General features: G+C 37.2%; 1 protein-coding gene across 1 annotated transcript in view, besides 1 other annotated feature; it reads right to left on the bottom strand.

Moving 5' to 3' along the window:
* The window catches only part of MMP16 (matrix metallopeptidase 16), a 295,473-nt gene that overhangs the window by 268,181 nt on the left and 12,018 nt on the right, over window positions 1-15,274 (bottom strand). The window lies entirely within an intron of this gene.
* Window positions 2,500-3,114: an enhancer, noted in NCBI's record as "H3K27ac-H3K4me1 hESC enhancer chr8:89314920-89315534 (GRCh37/hg19 assembly coordinates)". NCBI's record gives its function as "activates a minimal SCP1, AML or CMV promoter by ChIP-STARR-seq in naive H9 embryonic stem cells {active_cell/tissue: H9 hESC(naive)}" and the evidence as "EXISTENCE:reporter gene assay evidence [ECO:0000049][PMID:30033119]".

Genomic DNA, 15,274 nt, shown 5'->3' on the forward strand with positions numbered 1-15,274 from the left:
AGGAATCCTATTGTCTACTCTTCTATCTCTTAAACTGCAAAATTCATACTTTCTATGTTAAATAATTATTAAGCCTAAGTAGTACACAGAAGCCCTCCTTATGCAGTTTCACTTTCTGTGGTTTCAGTTACCCACAATCTAAAAGCATTAAATGAAAAATTCTAGAATAACCAATTCATACATTTTAAATCGTGCACCTTTCTGAACAGCATGATGAAATCTCACGCCATCCCACTCCATCAGCCCTGGACGTGAATCCAACGTATTCATACTGATGGCACAACCTGCTCTTGAGTCACTTAGTACCTCTCTCTGTTATCAGATCACCCGTTGTGAGATAACAGTGCTTGCATTCAAGAAACCCTTATTTTACTTAGTTGTTCTATTTTATTATCAGTTATTGTTGTTAATCTTTCATTGTGCATATTTTATAAGTTAAACTTTACCACAGGTATGTACGTACAGAAAAAAATATATATGTAGGGTTTGGTACTATTGCTGGTTTCAGGCATCTACTAGGGAACTTATCCCATGAAGACAAGGGGATACTGCTGAATGGAAGTCCCCAAGTTCTCACTGTCTGAAAGAGAGAGAATCGGAAAGTACAGAAGCCTCCAAGATTGAGGAAAGGCCCTTTTTTTTTAAGAGCCTGAAGTAAGAGTAACTCTTCCACCAGCTAATGAAATGGCATCAGTCAGAAGGACAAAAATAACCTCAAAGCAATGGTAGATGGAAAATGGAAAAAACAAGAATAGGAAGACAAAGTTTATAATTTTCTATGCATGTGTTTAGAGGCAGGGAGACACAGGAAGGTGAAAGATTAATGTAAGAGCAGGGATCACTTAAATCTTTATTTTTGCCTTATTAATACCTTAAAATTTATCAATCATTTATCTTGTACAAAAAACAGTATCATCCTTTAAACCTAGCTCAATGAAAAATGAGAATTATCTCTCATAAGGCTCTAATAATTGTAGAACACAGTACAAATATTCTTCATAGCAATGCTAAGTCTTCCAGTGATAACATGCCGGGGGGAAAGAAAGTCCTTTCTCAGCCTTCTCTCGTTCCCTCAATATACCTCCTCCTCATTTCCTCTTTTTCTGCCTCTCTCCATTTTATAACTGCATAAATCTTACATACAGAACCTAAAACAGAAGAACCCCTGAAGTTTAACTGTCTGACCCTCTTCTTCACTCCTTCCTGGAAGCAGGAAAATAGCTATTTTCTTTTAATATCTCTGTGACTTATTTGCCACAAAGCTTAAAAATAAGATGAACATCTCAAGACATGTAAGAAGCTGATTTATCACTGAAAGCTCTCTTTCAATGTATGCATGAATATGTATGCTATACTCTATATTTTCCCTTTAAGAAAATACAGATATATGCAGGAATATGACATTATGTGTATATAGTTAGAAATGTGTTTAATTGTAACTTTACAGATAAATTTAAACAAACATGCTCTTATTTAATAGTGCCTAGAACTGAGATGACTGAATCATAGCTACTACATAAACACCTTTGCTATTGAGGAAGAAAATGTATTTTTTTAAAACTGAATTTGTTGAAGTTTGAATTTAGCAGATATTTGGTAATATCCTAATATTCACTTTTGCCCCATTAAAACTGGTCTTCAGGAAATACGTTAATGAATATCATACCTCAACATTCAAATGGCTAAAACTTTTTACTGTTTCACAAGGTTATTTTTATCAACAGTGAGAGATAATCCACATAATAAAATAACATTTATCAGTCACATATATCAGTGATACTTTCTGAAATCTGACCATTATTATGATGCCAGAATGCCTGCTTTTTGTTCACTCCAGCTCACTTGCTCAGAAACCTTCACAAGAACACTGGAAAGTCCCATTTTCTATTCTGCTTTCTGCCATTAACCTTCTATGAAGCTTGTAACAAAATCATACCCACAACCAGGTTCCCAGATGCCCTATTTAAAAAACAGATCTACATTATAGTTAAGATCCTAGCATGGAAAATAATTAGGAGGGCAAAGAGCAACATTTTCAGCACTTTGCTGTCACATCATCAAATAAAATCAGTGGAAGAAGTTGCCAGAGGGAGGAGAAAATATTTCTCACCTCTTGAGGAAAAACGTGGCATAGAAACCCCAAAATTATTGCTTAAGGCCAACCTTATGCCTCTCAGCTCTTTGTTTTTCTCAGTCACACTAGTGCAGAACTCTGCCTCATTTAGTCTAATTTGCGTCCCTTGTTATATTATCTGCGCACAAAATAAAGTCCCTGTTGTACTCCTTCTCCACTGACATTTCACTCTTGCACTCAGGACAAGTGTGTCCAAATAAGTAACAACCCTAAATCACACTTTAATCCTAATTTTCCGGAGACACGAAGAGAAAATAACAGAGAAAAGAAGGGGATGAAAAAAAGTAGGAAAATAGGTATGCATATGTGTGTAGGGGAAAATTGGAAATGCAGAAGTGGAAGGGGAAACAGTTAAAGTGAGTAAAAGGAGAAAGAGAATAGGATAATAATAGAGGGTCCAAGATGGCCGATTAAAAGCAGCGGCAGTCTGTAACACTCACAGAGAAGAATGAAAGCAAGGGACGAATTCAGCACCTTCAACTGAAATAACCAGGTTCTCGCACTGGCACTGACTAGGCAAATAGCTCGACCCATAGAGAATGAAGAAAAGCAGGGAGGGGCAACAGCCTAGCCAGGAGTGGCATGGATCCAAAGGAACTCCCACCCCCAGCCAAGAGAAGCGGTGAGTGATTGTATGATCCCACTCGGGAAACCACACTTCTCCCACAGATCTTTGCAACCAGTGGATCAGGAGATCCCTTCGTGAGCCCACGCCACCAGGGCCTTGGGTCTGATACACAGAGCTATGCAGAGTCACAGCAGAGCAGCTGCTCAGGCACACACAGAGACCCAGGAGTTTTGCATACTGTGGTCCTGGGATTCCTGGCAAGGAGGGAGATACAAAGCTACATACACCCGGGGGCGGGGCTGAATCCAGGGAGCCAGGCAGCGTCGTTTTAAGGGCCCCACTTCCATAGCACCTCACAAGTTAAGACCCACTGGCTTGGAATTCTCTCAAGCCAGCGATGACAGGTTGGGGTCTGCCTGAGAAGGACAAAGTTCCCAGGGAGAGGGATGGCCACCATCTCTGTGGTTTGGTCTACACAGCTGTTCCAGCCTGCCAGCTCTGGAGAGTCTAGCCTGTCCAGAAGAAGAGGGGTCCCCCACAATGCAGCACAGCTGTGCCACCAAAGCAGCCAGACTGCTTCTTTAAGTGGGTCCCTGATCCTGTTCCTCCTGACTGGGCGTGCCCTCCCAACAGGGGTCTCCAGACACCTCCTATAGGTGCAGTTTAGGCTGGCAATAGGACAGTACCCCCCTGGGACAGAGCCTTCAGAAGAAGGAGTAGGCTCCCATCTTTGCTGTTTCACAGCCTTCACTGGTGATTACCTCCAGGTACAGGAAAAACTGAGGCAACTAGGGTCTGGAGCAGACCCCCAGCAAACTGCAGCAGCGCTACAGAAAAGTAGCCTAACCATTAAAAACAAACAGAAAACAACAACATCAACAAAAAACCCTCACAGAAAACCCCATTCAAAGATCAGGAACCTCAAAGATCCAAGGTAGATAAGCCCACAAAGATGAGAAAGAATCAACACGAAAATACTGAAAACTCAAAAAGCCCAGAGTGCTTCTCCTCCAAATGACTCCAGCAAAGGCGCAGAACTGGGCTGAGGCTGAGATAGCTAAACTGATGGAAGTAGGCTTCAGAAGGTAGGTATTAAGAACTTCATTGAGCTAAAGAGGCAAGTTGTAACCCAATGAAAAGAAACTAAGAATCATGATAAAAACAATACAGAAGCTGATAGCCAGAATAGCCAGTTTTGAGAGGAACATAATTGACCTGATGGAGCTGAAAAACACAACATGAGAACTTCACAATGCAATCACAAGTATCAACAGCAGAATAGACTAAGTGGGGAAAGGATCTCAGAGCTTGATGGCTATCTCTCAAAGTAAGATAGGCAGACAAGAAGAGAGAAAAAAGAATGAAAAGGAGTAAACAAAACCTCTGAGAAATATAGGATTATGTAAAGAGACTGAACCTTCGACTGACTGGTATATATAAAAGAGAGGTGGAGAACTGAACTAAGTTGAAAAACGTACTTCAGGATATCATCCAGGAGAACTTCCTCAACCTAGCAAGACAGGCCAACATTCAAATTCAGGAACTGCAGAGAACCCCAGTAAGATACTCTAAAACAAGATCAACCCCAAGACACATAATCATCAGATTCTCCATGGTTGAAATGACAGAAAAAATGTTAAGGGCTGCCAGAGAGAAAGGCCTAGCCACCTACAAAGGGAAGCCCATCAGACTAACAGCAGGCCTCTTAGTGGAAACCCTACAAGGCAGAAGAGATTGGGGGCCAATATTCAACATTCTTAAAGAAAAGAATTTCCAACCCAGAATTTCATATCAAGCCAAACTAAGCTTCATAAGCAAAGGATCAATAAGATTCTTTTCAGACAAGCAAATGCTGAGGGAATTCATCATCATGAGGCCTGCCTCACAAGAGCTCCTGAAGGAAGCACTAAATATGAAAAGGAAAAGCCATCACCAGCCACTTAAAAAACACCCTAAAGTATATAGACCAGTGACACTATAAAGCAACCACATAAACAAGTCTGCAAAATAACCAGCTACCATCATAATGACAGGATCAAATTCACACATAACAATACTAACCTTAAATGTAAATGGACTACATGCCCCCAATTAAAAAACACAGAATGAAAGGCTGGATAAAGAGCCAAGATCCACTGGCATGCTGTATTCAACAGACCCATGTAAAGTGAAAGACACATAGGCTTGAAATAAATGGATGAAGGAAAATTTACCAAACAAATGGAAAACAAAAAAAGCAGGGATTGCAATCTTGGATTCTGACAAAACAGACTTTAAACCAACAAAGATCAAAAAATACAAAGAAGAGCATTACATGATGGTAAATGGTTCAATTCAAAAAGAAGAGTTAACTATCCCAAATATATATGCACCCAATACAGGAGCACTCAGATTCATAAGCCAAGTGTTTAGGGACCTACAAAGAGACTTAGATGCCCACACAGCAATAGTGGGAGACATTAATACCCCACTGACAATATCAGATCATCAAGACAGAAAATTAACAAAGATATTCGGGACTTGAACTCACCTCTGGATCAAGTGGACCTCATAGATATCTACAGAACTCTCCACCCCAAAACAACAGAATATATATTCTTCTCATTGCCACATGGCACTTACTTTAAAATTGATCCTACAATCAGAAGTAAAACACTCTTCAGCAAATGCAAAAGAAATGAAGTCACAACAGTCTGTCAGACCACAGTGCAATCAAATTAGAACTCAAGATTAAGAAGTTCACTCAAAACCATACAATTACATGGAAATTGAATAACCTGCTCCTGAATGACTTTGGGGTAAATAACGAAATTAAGGGAGAAATCAAGAAGTTCTTTGAAACTAAACAGAACAAGGAGACAATGTACCAGAATCTCTGGGACACAGCTAAAGCAGTGTTAAGGGGGAAATTTATAGCACTAAATGCCCACATCAAAAAGCTAGAAAGATCTCAAGTTGACCACCTAACATCTCAACTAAAAGAACTAGAGAACCAGAGCAAACAAAACCCAAAGCTAACAGAAGACAAAATATAATCAAGACTAGAGCTGAACTAAAGGCGACAGAGACACGAAAAGCCCCTTGAAAAATCAATGAACCCAGGAGGTGTTTTTTTTTTTGAAAAAATTAATAAAATAGACTACTAGGTAGACTAAGGAAAAAGAAAAGAGAGAAGAATCAAATAAACAGAATTAGAAATGATAAGGGGGATGTCACCATTGACCCCACAGAAATACAAACAACCATGAGAGAATACTATAAACACCTTTATGCACATAAACTAAAATCTAGAAGAAGTGGATAAATTCCTGGATGCATACACACTCCCAAGACTGAACCATGAAGAAATTGCATTCCTGAAAGACCAACAGTGAGTTCTGAAACTGAGGCCATAATAAATAGCCTACCAACAACAAAAAGCCCAGCACCAGATAGATTCACAGCTGGATTCTACCAGAGATACAAAGAATAACTGGTACCATTTCTGCTGAACTATTCCAAAAAATTGAAAAGGAGGGACACTTTCCTAGCTCATTTTATGACACCAACATCATCCTGATACCAAAACTAGGCAGCGATACCACAAAGAAAACTTCAGGCCAATATCCTTGATGAACATGGATGTAAAAATCCTCAGTAAAATATTGGCAAACTGAATCCAGCAGCATATAAAAAAGCATATGCACTACAATCAAGTTGGCTTCATCCCTGGGATGCAAGGTTGGTTCAATATATGCAAATCAGTAAATGTGATTCATCACCTACACACAACCAAAGACAAAATCCACATGGTTATCTCAATACATGCAGAAAAGACCTTCAATAAAAGTCAAAATCCCTTCATGTTAAAAACTCTCAATGAACTAGGTATTGAAGAAATACACTGTAAAATAATAAGAGCCATATATTTCAAACCCACAGCCAGTATCATACTAAATGGGCAAGAGCTGGAAGCATTCCCCTTGAAAATTGGCACAAGACATGGATACCCTCTTACCATTCCTATTCAACACAGTATTAGAAGTTCTGGCCAGGGCAATCAGGCAAGAGAAAGGAATAAAGGTATTCAAATAGGAAGAGAGAAAGTCAAACTATCTTTGTTTGCAGATGGCAGGATCCTGTATCTAGAAAACCCCATTGTCTCAACCCAAAAGCATCTTAAGCTGATAAGCAACTTCAGCAAAGTCTCAGAATACAAAATCAATGTGCAAAAATTGCTAGCATTCCCATATGCCAACAGGCAAGCAGAGAACCAAATCAAGGTCTCACGTTTAAGATATCTGCAACTGCCCCATACTTTCCTGGTGCACTCCATCCAACAATCTCTGAACTACATTAGCAATTTCCAATAAACTTTTTATGTTGCTTAAGGTAGTTCAAATTGGCTTTTTGTATCATGAAATGAAGAGTCTTGAATGAAAGTCTTGAATAAAATGCTCATATTCCATCAAATATTCAACTATCCTTTTCTGGTTTTATTTGAAAACAAATTTTGTCCTCCTATCATTGTGATAGGAGGAAGCAACCAATCCATTAAAAATTAAGACGGAAATAGAGAATGTTAAATAGAAAAACAGACAATAACAAATTTCAATTCTTGTCAGGCTGGTCATGCTATGTCCTCACCATCAATCTTAATTTAATAGCAATATATAAAGATTCTAGAATGAATTATCCTAAAGAAAGTAACTAGTATCTTAATTCTTTTTTAGGTTAATAATTGACAACTGAAAACAAATGAGTCTCCATTTCCCTTAGTCAGAATAAAAGACATTATGCCTAGTATCACAAAAATTACTTAATACTGCTCTGGAACAACTAGACACTACAATTGTCTAGAATTAATAAGAGAACAAAAAACAGAAAAGGAGGCAAAATTAAGTGTGAATGATATAGCCATGTATCAGACCACTCAAGATAATCTATGGAAAGAATACATAAAACCTTATGATTATGTTTCATATGATTATATGAAAATATACAAAAATTTATAAATAGATGAAAGTCGCTTGGTAATTATATCAGAAGATCCTATTCTAAACTGCAACATAAGAAAAATGCAATAACTCCATATCTCAGAAAGCTGCAAAACACTACTGAAGGGAAGAAGCAGAAACTTCAAAATAGTTTTCCCAGAAATGTTTAAATAAATCTGTGGACAGAACTGTATTCAGAAATAGACTGAAATATGTGTCAAAATTAGTATATAATAAAGGCAGCATTTAAAGCATTGAAAACATCATAAATGCATTACTGGCCACAATTCTTCACTTCACCCTGTATCTATATCCTTACCATGGCCACATCAGAGACACAGTGTATATCCAAGCTCCTTGACTTTAGACCTTGCCATGCAGCAAACTTGCATTAGGCAAATCAATGTGTTCAAAGGGACCTTTTGTTAATTATGAGGCTAAGACGTAGGAGGCATCACATGTGAATGTTTGCTCTATAATGCTTTTGCCATTATCAAGGGAACATGTTCTATCTTGTCAGTGGTTTCAGGATCATGTCAGATACATGCAGTAGAATTGCCCCAGACAAGCTACATAAAGCAAGAGGTGCCCAAAGCCACCCATAGTTCCATAGATCAATGGCATTTGTCTTAAGCCATTACATTCTATAGTAGTTAGTTCTCAACGAAACCTGAGCAAGAGTGAGGGAAAGATGTATTACTCAATACATAGTGTTGAAGCACCTGTTCAGTAATTTTAGGAAAAATGGGTTAGATTCCAGTTTCCTTATCTACACTAAAAGTATTTTCTGTATATCAAAGATTCATGCACATAAAAAGAAAAAAGGTGGTTTCTTTGAAAGTTTTGAAATGCTGCAGATTTGAAACATAATACAAAACTGAAAGTTATAACATAAAGACTAATCTTAAAAAACATTAACAAAATCAAAACATCAACAAATTCATTTTATGACAGAACGGGGCCAATTTTAATATATACAGAGCTCATATAATCAATAAAAAGAGAAGACAAAACACAAGTTGGCAGAAAAAGAAAGTCTTCATAATTTAAAAAATGCAAATAGTTTAAAACATAAAAAAATTCCCAATACTGCTATGAATTTACACTTGCAAAAAAAAATAATATTTTACCCAGCAGATTAGGAAAAACTTAAAAGCACTGGCAAGTGTGTGTGGAACCAAGCATGCTCAAGCATTGTTGAGTGACAATTTGGCAGAATCTACTACAATTATAAATAAATATAGCCCTTAACGCAGTAATTCCACTTCCAGAAATTTCGTTACATAAACCAATTAACTCACATGTACTTAGATAAGTACACTGCATTATTTTTTAATTATAGAAACAACTTTTAAAATAACCTCTTTGTCCAGCAATTGGCAATGGTTAAATAAATTACAAGTTACAAGTTATTAATATCATACAAGTATGAAGTTGTTCTACATGCACTGGTAGAAAAAAATCTCCAAAGTATATTGTTATGTTAAAAATATACAGAACATTATATATAATGCATTTTTATGGGAAGGAAGGCAGGGGAAGGAAGAAAGTCTATAAAGAGGGAGGGTGGTAGGAGGGAGGGGGGGAACTGTGTGTGTCTAGAAAATTTCTGGAAATTAAGTAACAAAAAGAAAATCTTTCTTTAAAAAAAATGACTGAAACCTGCAACTCTTGGGCAGATGGACGTCCTCAAAGAAAAGGCTCCATGTGTTTCGTTACTCCTAATATGATCCTATAATAAAAGCCTCATTTTTCCTGTTAAACACAAAAGTGAAAAACGGACTGTTTAATATTCTAAGACTACACTTCCTCTACTTTTCCTAAGATGTAATTCAGATAGACAGCACATGTATCAATGAAAGACTAAAGAAGGTCTTGTATTCTCTGTTTTTATCCTGCCTATCACCAATATAGCAAAAGCAAATCCATCATATATTTAACATTTATTGAGTCAACTCTTCATGGGCCTTCATTATTGTGACTGTTAAAACACTATGATCTAATTTTAATGTAAGTTACTTAAAAGAAATTCAAATTATTATGTGATTATTCAGTCTTCAAGTTTTACATGCTAATGGACACAGCCACTGACAGTGTATGCACCTTTTTCCTCATCCACGTAGCTCAAAGAGGGATGGAAATCAGTTAAGACCTCCAGTGAAATACAAGTAAAACTGTTTTTGCTCTTTTCTAAAAATCATTTGGTGAAGTTGCTGTTCAATAATAGTAATAACTACAACTGAAGTCACTGAACTAGAACAAAGTTATTTTCCTTTGATATTTTCCCTAAGGTATTCTGATACACACCACCAGAAAAAAACGACGAAGTTTAGAATATTTTTAATGCCAAGGCAAAAGGCATTTATATAAACGTTCTATTGGTGAATGAAGATAGAAAGCGCTATTTATACCAAAAATACTGTCATATGATGGAGATGATTTTTTAAAATCTCAAAGTCCAAGGTGCTCACCAGTTGACCATTAATAACTAAGATAAATATGACCCTTGATTATTTGAAGTTAAATATTTCTAATAAAGTAATTGAAGTAAATGTAAGGTAAAGGCACCATACTGTCATCCAGTATGGGCTAAATGAGTTAAGAAAAAGGACAACTATTGAAATGGATCAGAAAATACCAGTTACATTAGAAACTAAAACCCATGAATAGGGATGATGTAATCCACTCATTTTTCAGTGCATATCTAAGGAGCACTCTACTTGCATGGTGGTGTCTGGCTCATGGAACACACTAAAGATGAAGACAGATATACTCTGGCTCAACACAAAGTTATAATTTACTGTGAGAGACAGCTGTGAATCTATCATTCAAACACCTTGTACAATGGATTATTCGTACAGGCATTCAATTTGTTCTAATGTACTGAATTCGCCCATATGCCCCCAGGCAAGAAGAGAGAAAAAAAGTTATTTCTGTCCCCTTAAATTTTTCTACTAGCAAGTATAAATTTGGCCTACATATTTCTAGACACAGGAAGACCAAAACTCAAAGGCACAAGGAAAAGAAGGAGGTGGATGTGTGTTTTTTTGTGTGTCCATGAGTTAAGTTTTATCAATTAATAAGGTATTTAATAATTTTCAACAGTAATTTTAAGGTCCCTTAGTCTTGCATACAGATGCCGCTATCTGCCTTTGAAGTAAGATATTAATAAAATACTGTGATTATAATTATATTGGATACTTTAAAAATAAGAATAAGTTATTATAAATGCATAATGTGGGGATTACCTGGTGGGGGTGAAGATGGAGATTTAGAGACGGCTCACTAATATTTATTCTCGACACCAAAAAAAATGTATATTAGGATGGGGAAGAAATGAAGGAATTAAGCATTTTGATAAAGACTCTACGGTGGATTTTGATATATCCAGGAGGTAAAAGGGGAACAGCATACCTGCTAGAGCCGAGATCATCAAAGTTTGATCCAGGAACCTCTGAGTGTCCTAAAACTTTCAGGAATCAAACAATTTTAATAAGATGTTATTTGCCTTTTTACTCTCATTCACTTGCATTTGACAGTTGAGTTTACCAGAGCCTTTGTGATTTATAACATCAGAAGTGTGAATGCATAAGGAGATAGGAGATATGAGAATCTAGCTATTTTTTGTTAAGCCAGATATTTAAAGTATCTGGAAAGATCTAAAACAATGCCACCTTTCTTACTATTTTGTTTTGTAAAATTATTTTTTCATAAAAATGTTATTTATGACATGTCATTTTTAATGAATTTCTAAATAAGTATTTAAAAATTCTCTTAGATTTATCTAATACCATAAATATAGATGGATATAAACCATAATAGAAGATTCTGGGTTTTCATTAATGTTTAGGAGTGGACAGCCATCTTTAATGTGAGAACCACTGTACTAGATCACAGTGAGCAGAAGATGAACTCTGAGCTACAGGGCTAGAGAAAGGGGTGAGGCTGATAATGAGAGGTCTTGCATGCCATGTTATAAATAATATAACATGTCAAGACCAGAGATAACGAAGATTTAAAATAGGGTTGCAACCCAAAATAGACATCAGAAATAAAAAGACTTAAGATATACATTAGAGGAAATGAGGCAATTGATTAGAAGTAGAGAGTAAGGGGCAGAAAACTGGGGATTTGGTGCCCACTCTTAACTTGAACACCCATGTGGTAGGTGATACCAGCACAGTGGTGGGAAGTAGTGTCAGAGGAAACACTGAGACAGGGCAGATCAGAACATCTGTCATTGTACACAGTAAGATGGATAAGCAGACGATGGGAATACAGGCTAGAGCTGAGAAGAGAGATGCCAACTGGAGATAAAAACTGGCAGTTCTCTTCATACGGGTATTTTAAGCCATAGGAATCCAAAGACAGATTCCAGAGTCAGACATGGCCCAAAGCTAAGCCTTGATCACCCAATCTTTTATAGTTAGACATTTTATTTCTATAGAATAGTGTCATATAGAAGACTGAAACCTATTCTTTTCCATCTTAATTTAGGCTACAGCATACATGTAACTACCAGCAGTTATCATTATTAGGTTGGTTACTAAGAACCGGATTATATATTCAATATGCAATTTTTAACAGCTCTATTGAGGTATGATTGGTATACAATAAGCAGCACATATTTTAAGTGTACAATTTGATAAGTTTTGACATACACAGACCACCACAGCCAGGAAAATTAACATATCCATTATCAGCAAAAGTCTTCTCTGGACTCTATAATCCTTCCCTCCCAGCCCTCCTGCCCTCCTCCCTCAGTCCCTAGGCAATCACTGATCTGCTTTCTGTTGCTAAAGATTAGTGTCCATTTGAGCCAGGCACAGCGGCTCATGTTTGTAATCCCAACACTTTGGGAGGCTGAGGCGGGCAGATCACCTGAGGTCAGGAGTTAGAGACCAGCCTGACCAACACGGTGAAACCCCATCTCTACTAAGAATACAAAATTAGCTGGGTGTGGTGGTGCATGCCTGTAATCCCAGCCACTTGGGAGGCTGAGGCAGGAGAATTGCTTGAACCCAGAAGGCAGAGGTTGCAGTGAGCCTGAGCCAAGATTGAGCCATTGCACTCCAGCCTGGGCAATAAAGAGCAAATCTCTGTCTCAAAAACAAAAACAAAAAAAGGTGAGTGTCCATTTTTTATAATTTTATTTAAAATAAATCACACAGTATGTGCTCTTTTTAATGGGCTTTGTTCACTCAGCCTAATTGTTTTGGCATTCTTTACTATTTTACAATGTATCAATAGTGCATTCCTTTTTATTGCTAAGTAGTATTCCATTATATGGATGTATCAGAGTTTTGTGTACTGATGTTGTTGGACATCTGTGCTGTCTCCAGTTTTTGGGGGCAGCTTTTAACATTTCATGCAGTGTTGCTGTGCTGGAGATAAATCTTTCAGCTTTTGTGTCTCTGAAATATTCTTTATTTTGCCTAAGTATCTGAAATATATTTTCAATATGTACAGAATCTTAGGTTGAGAGATTTTTTTCCTTTCTGTATTTTCAGGATGCTTCTCCACTATCTTTTCCTTGTATTATTTCTGACAGGCAATCTGCAATTATTTGCTCCTCTATATGAAAGGTGTCTATTTTTCTCTGTCTGCTTTTATGATTTTTCTCTTTATCACTCATTTGAGCAATTTGATTATGCTGTGCCTTACTGTAGTTTTCTTCTTTTTTCTTTGTGCTTGGGATTCATCAACCTTCTTGGATCTGTGAGTTTATGTATTTTCCATCAAATTAAGAAAAGCGTTATTCTTTCTACCTCTCCCTACTTAAGAGACTTAAATTACATGTATACATGTTGTATTAACCTGTTCTCACACTGCTGATAAAGACATACCCAAGACTGGGCAATTTACAAAATAAAGAGGTTTAATGGACTCACAGTTCCACATGGCTGGCGAGGCCTCACATTCACGGTGGAAGGCAAGGAGGAGCAAGTCACATCTTACATGGATGGCAGCAGGCAAAGAGAGAGCTTGTGCAGAGAAACTCCCCCTTACAGAACCATAGAACCATCAGATCTCATGAGACTTATTCACTATCACAAGACCAGCATAGGAAAGACCCGTCCCCATGATTTAATTACCTCCTACTGTGTTCCTCCCATACCACGTGAAAATTCAAGATCAGATTTGGGTGGGGACACAGCCAAACCATATCACATGTATATTAGGTAACGTGCAGCTGTCCCATATCTCACTGATATTCTGTTCATTGTTAAATTTTCCTTTAGTGTTTCTGTGAATTACTTGTATTTCTGCAACCTAAAGTTTATTTTGTTCTTCACTAATGTGTAATCTGCTGTTAATTTCAAGTTTATTTTTAATCTCATGTATTGTAATTTTTATCTCTAAAGTTCAATTTCAATATATCTTCCATATGTCAACTTTTGGACATAAAGAATATAGTCATAACAAATGTTTTAATATTTTTATCTGCTAATTATAACATCTGTGCTATTTTTGAATCAATTTAAATATACAGAATTTTCTCCTAATTAGTGTTTTTCTGCTTTGTCGTATGCCTGACAATTTTTTATTATATGCTAGACATTATGAATTTTACCCTGTTGGGTGCTGGGTATTTCTGTATTCCAACAAATATCACTGAGCTTTGTTGTGAAATCAGTTAAGTCACAGAACAGTGTGATTCTTTCCAGTCTTCCTTTTAAGTGTTGTTAAGCTGAATGAAAGCAGTGTTTAGTCCAGAGCTAATTATTTTTCATAACTGAGGCAAGACACTTCTGAGCACTCTCCCCTTTGCCCTAAGAAGTATGGGGTTATCCAGTCTGGCTGAAGGGAGCTGGCACTATTGCCAGGCCTTCATGAACACTGGGCATGATTCCCTCTAGCTGTTTTGGTTGATTCTTTCCTTGGCAACCAGTAGTTACTTCACAGGAAGACACAGATCAGTTCTCAACTGCATACTCAAGGGGAACCCTGGGCAGATCTCTGGTGTTTTTGCTCTTTGCAGTTCTCTTCTCTCCATTATTCTGAATGTGAATCACCTTGGTCTCCTTATACACCCAGCTCCATTCCTTAACTCAGAGTCTGTCCAGCTCAACCTGAGTTCCACCTTCCTGGTGCTATGGCTGGAAACTCTCTCAAGGCAGCAAGTTGAGATAATCCTAAGGTTCACTGCATTTGTTTCCCATCTCTCAGGGATAACTCCTTTATTACCCAAAGTCCAGTGACTTGAATATCACTGTTCAAACATTTTGTCCATTTTTTGGGATGGGATAGGCATACCTCCGTTTATTGCATTTTACCTTATTGCACTTCACAGATAATGTATTTTTTACAAAATGAAGGTTTGTGACAACCCTCCATCAAACAAGTCTATCAGTACCATTTTTTCCCAGAGCATGTGCTCACTTCACATCTCTGTGTCACATTTTGGTAATTCTCACAATATTTCAAGCTTTTTCATTAGATGATATCTGTTATGGTGATCTGTGGTTAGTGTTCTTTTTCTTTTTTTAACACCTACCAAATTTATTTGACTATGGAATGTTTCTGAGAAATATCTTGTAGCATTAGTTTCTGAAGAACATATTGTGAGATATGCACTAAAACAGAGACCCAAAA

Source organism: Homo sapiens, chromosome 8, assembly GCF_000001405.40.
Source record: "Homo sapiens chromosome 8, GRCh38.p14 Primary Assembly".
Taxonomy (NCBI): domain Eukaryota; kingdom Metazoa; phylum Chordata; class Mammalia; order Primates; family Hominidae; genus Homo; species Homo sapiens.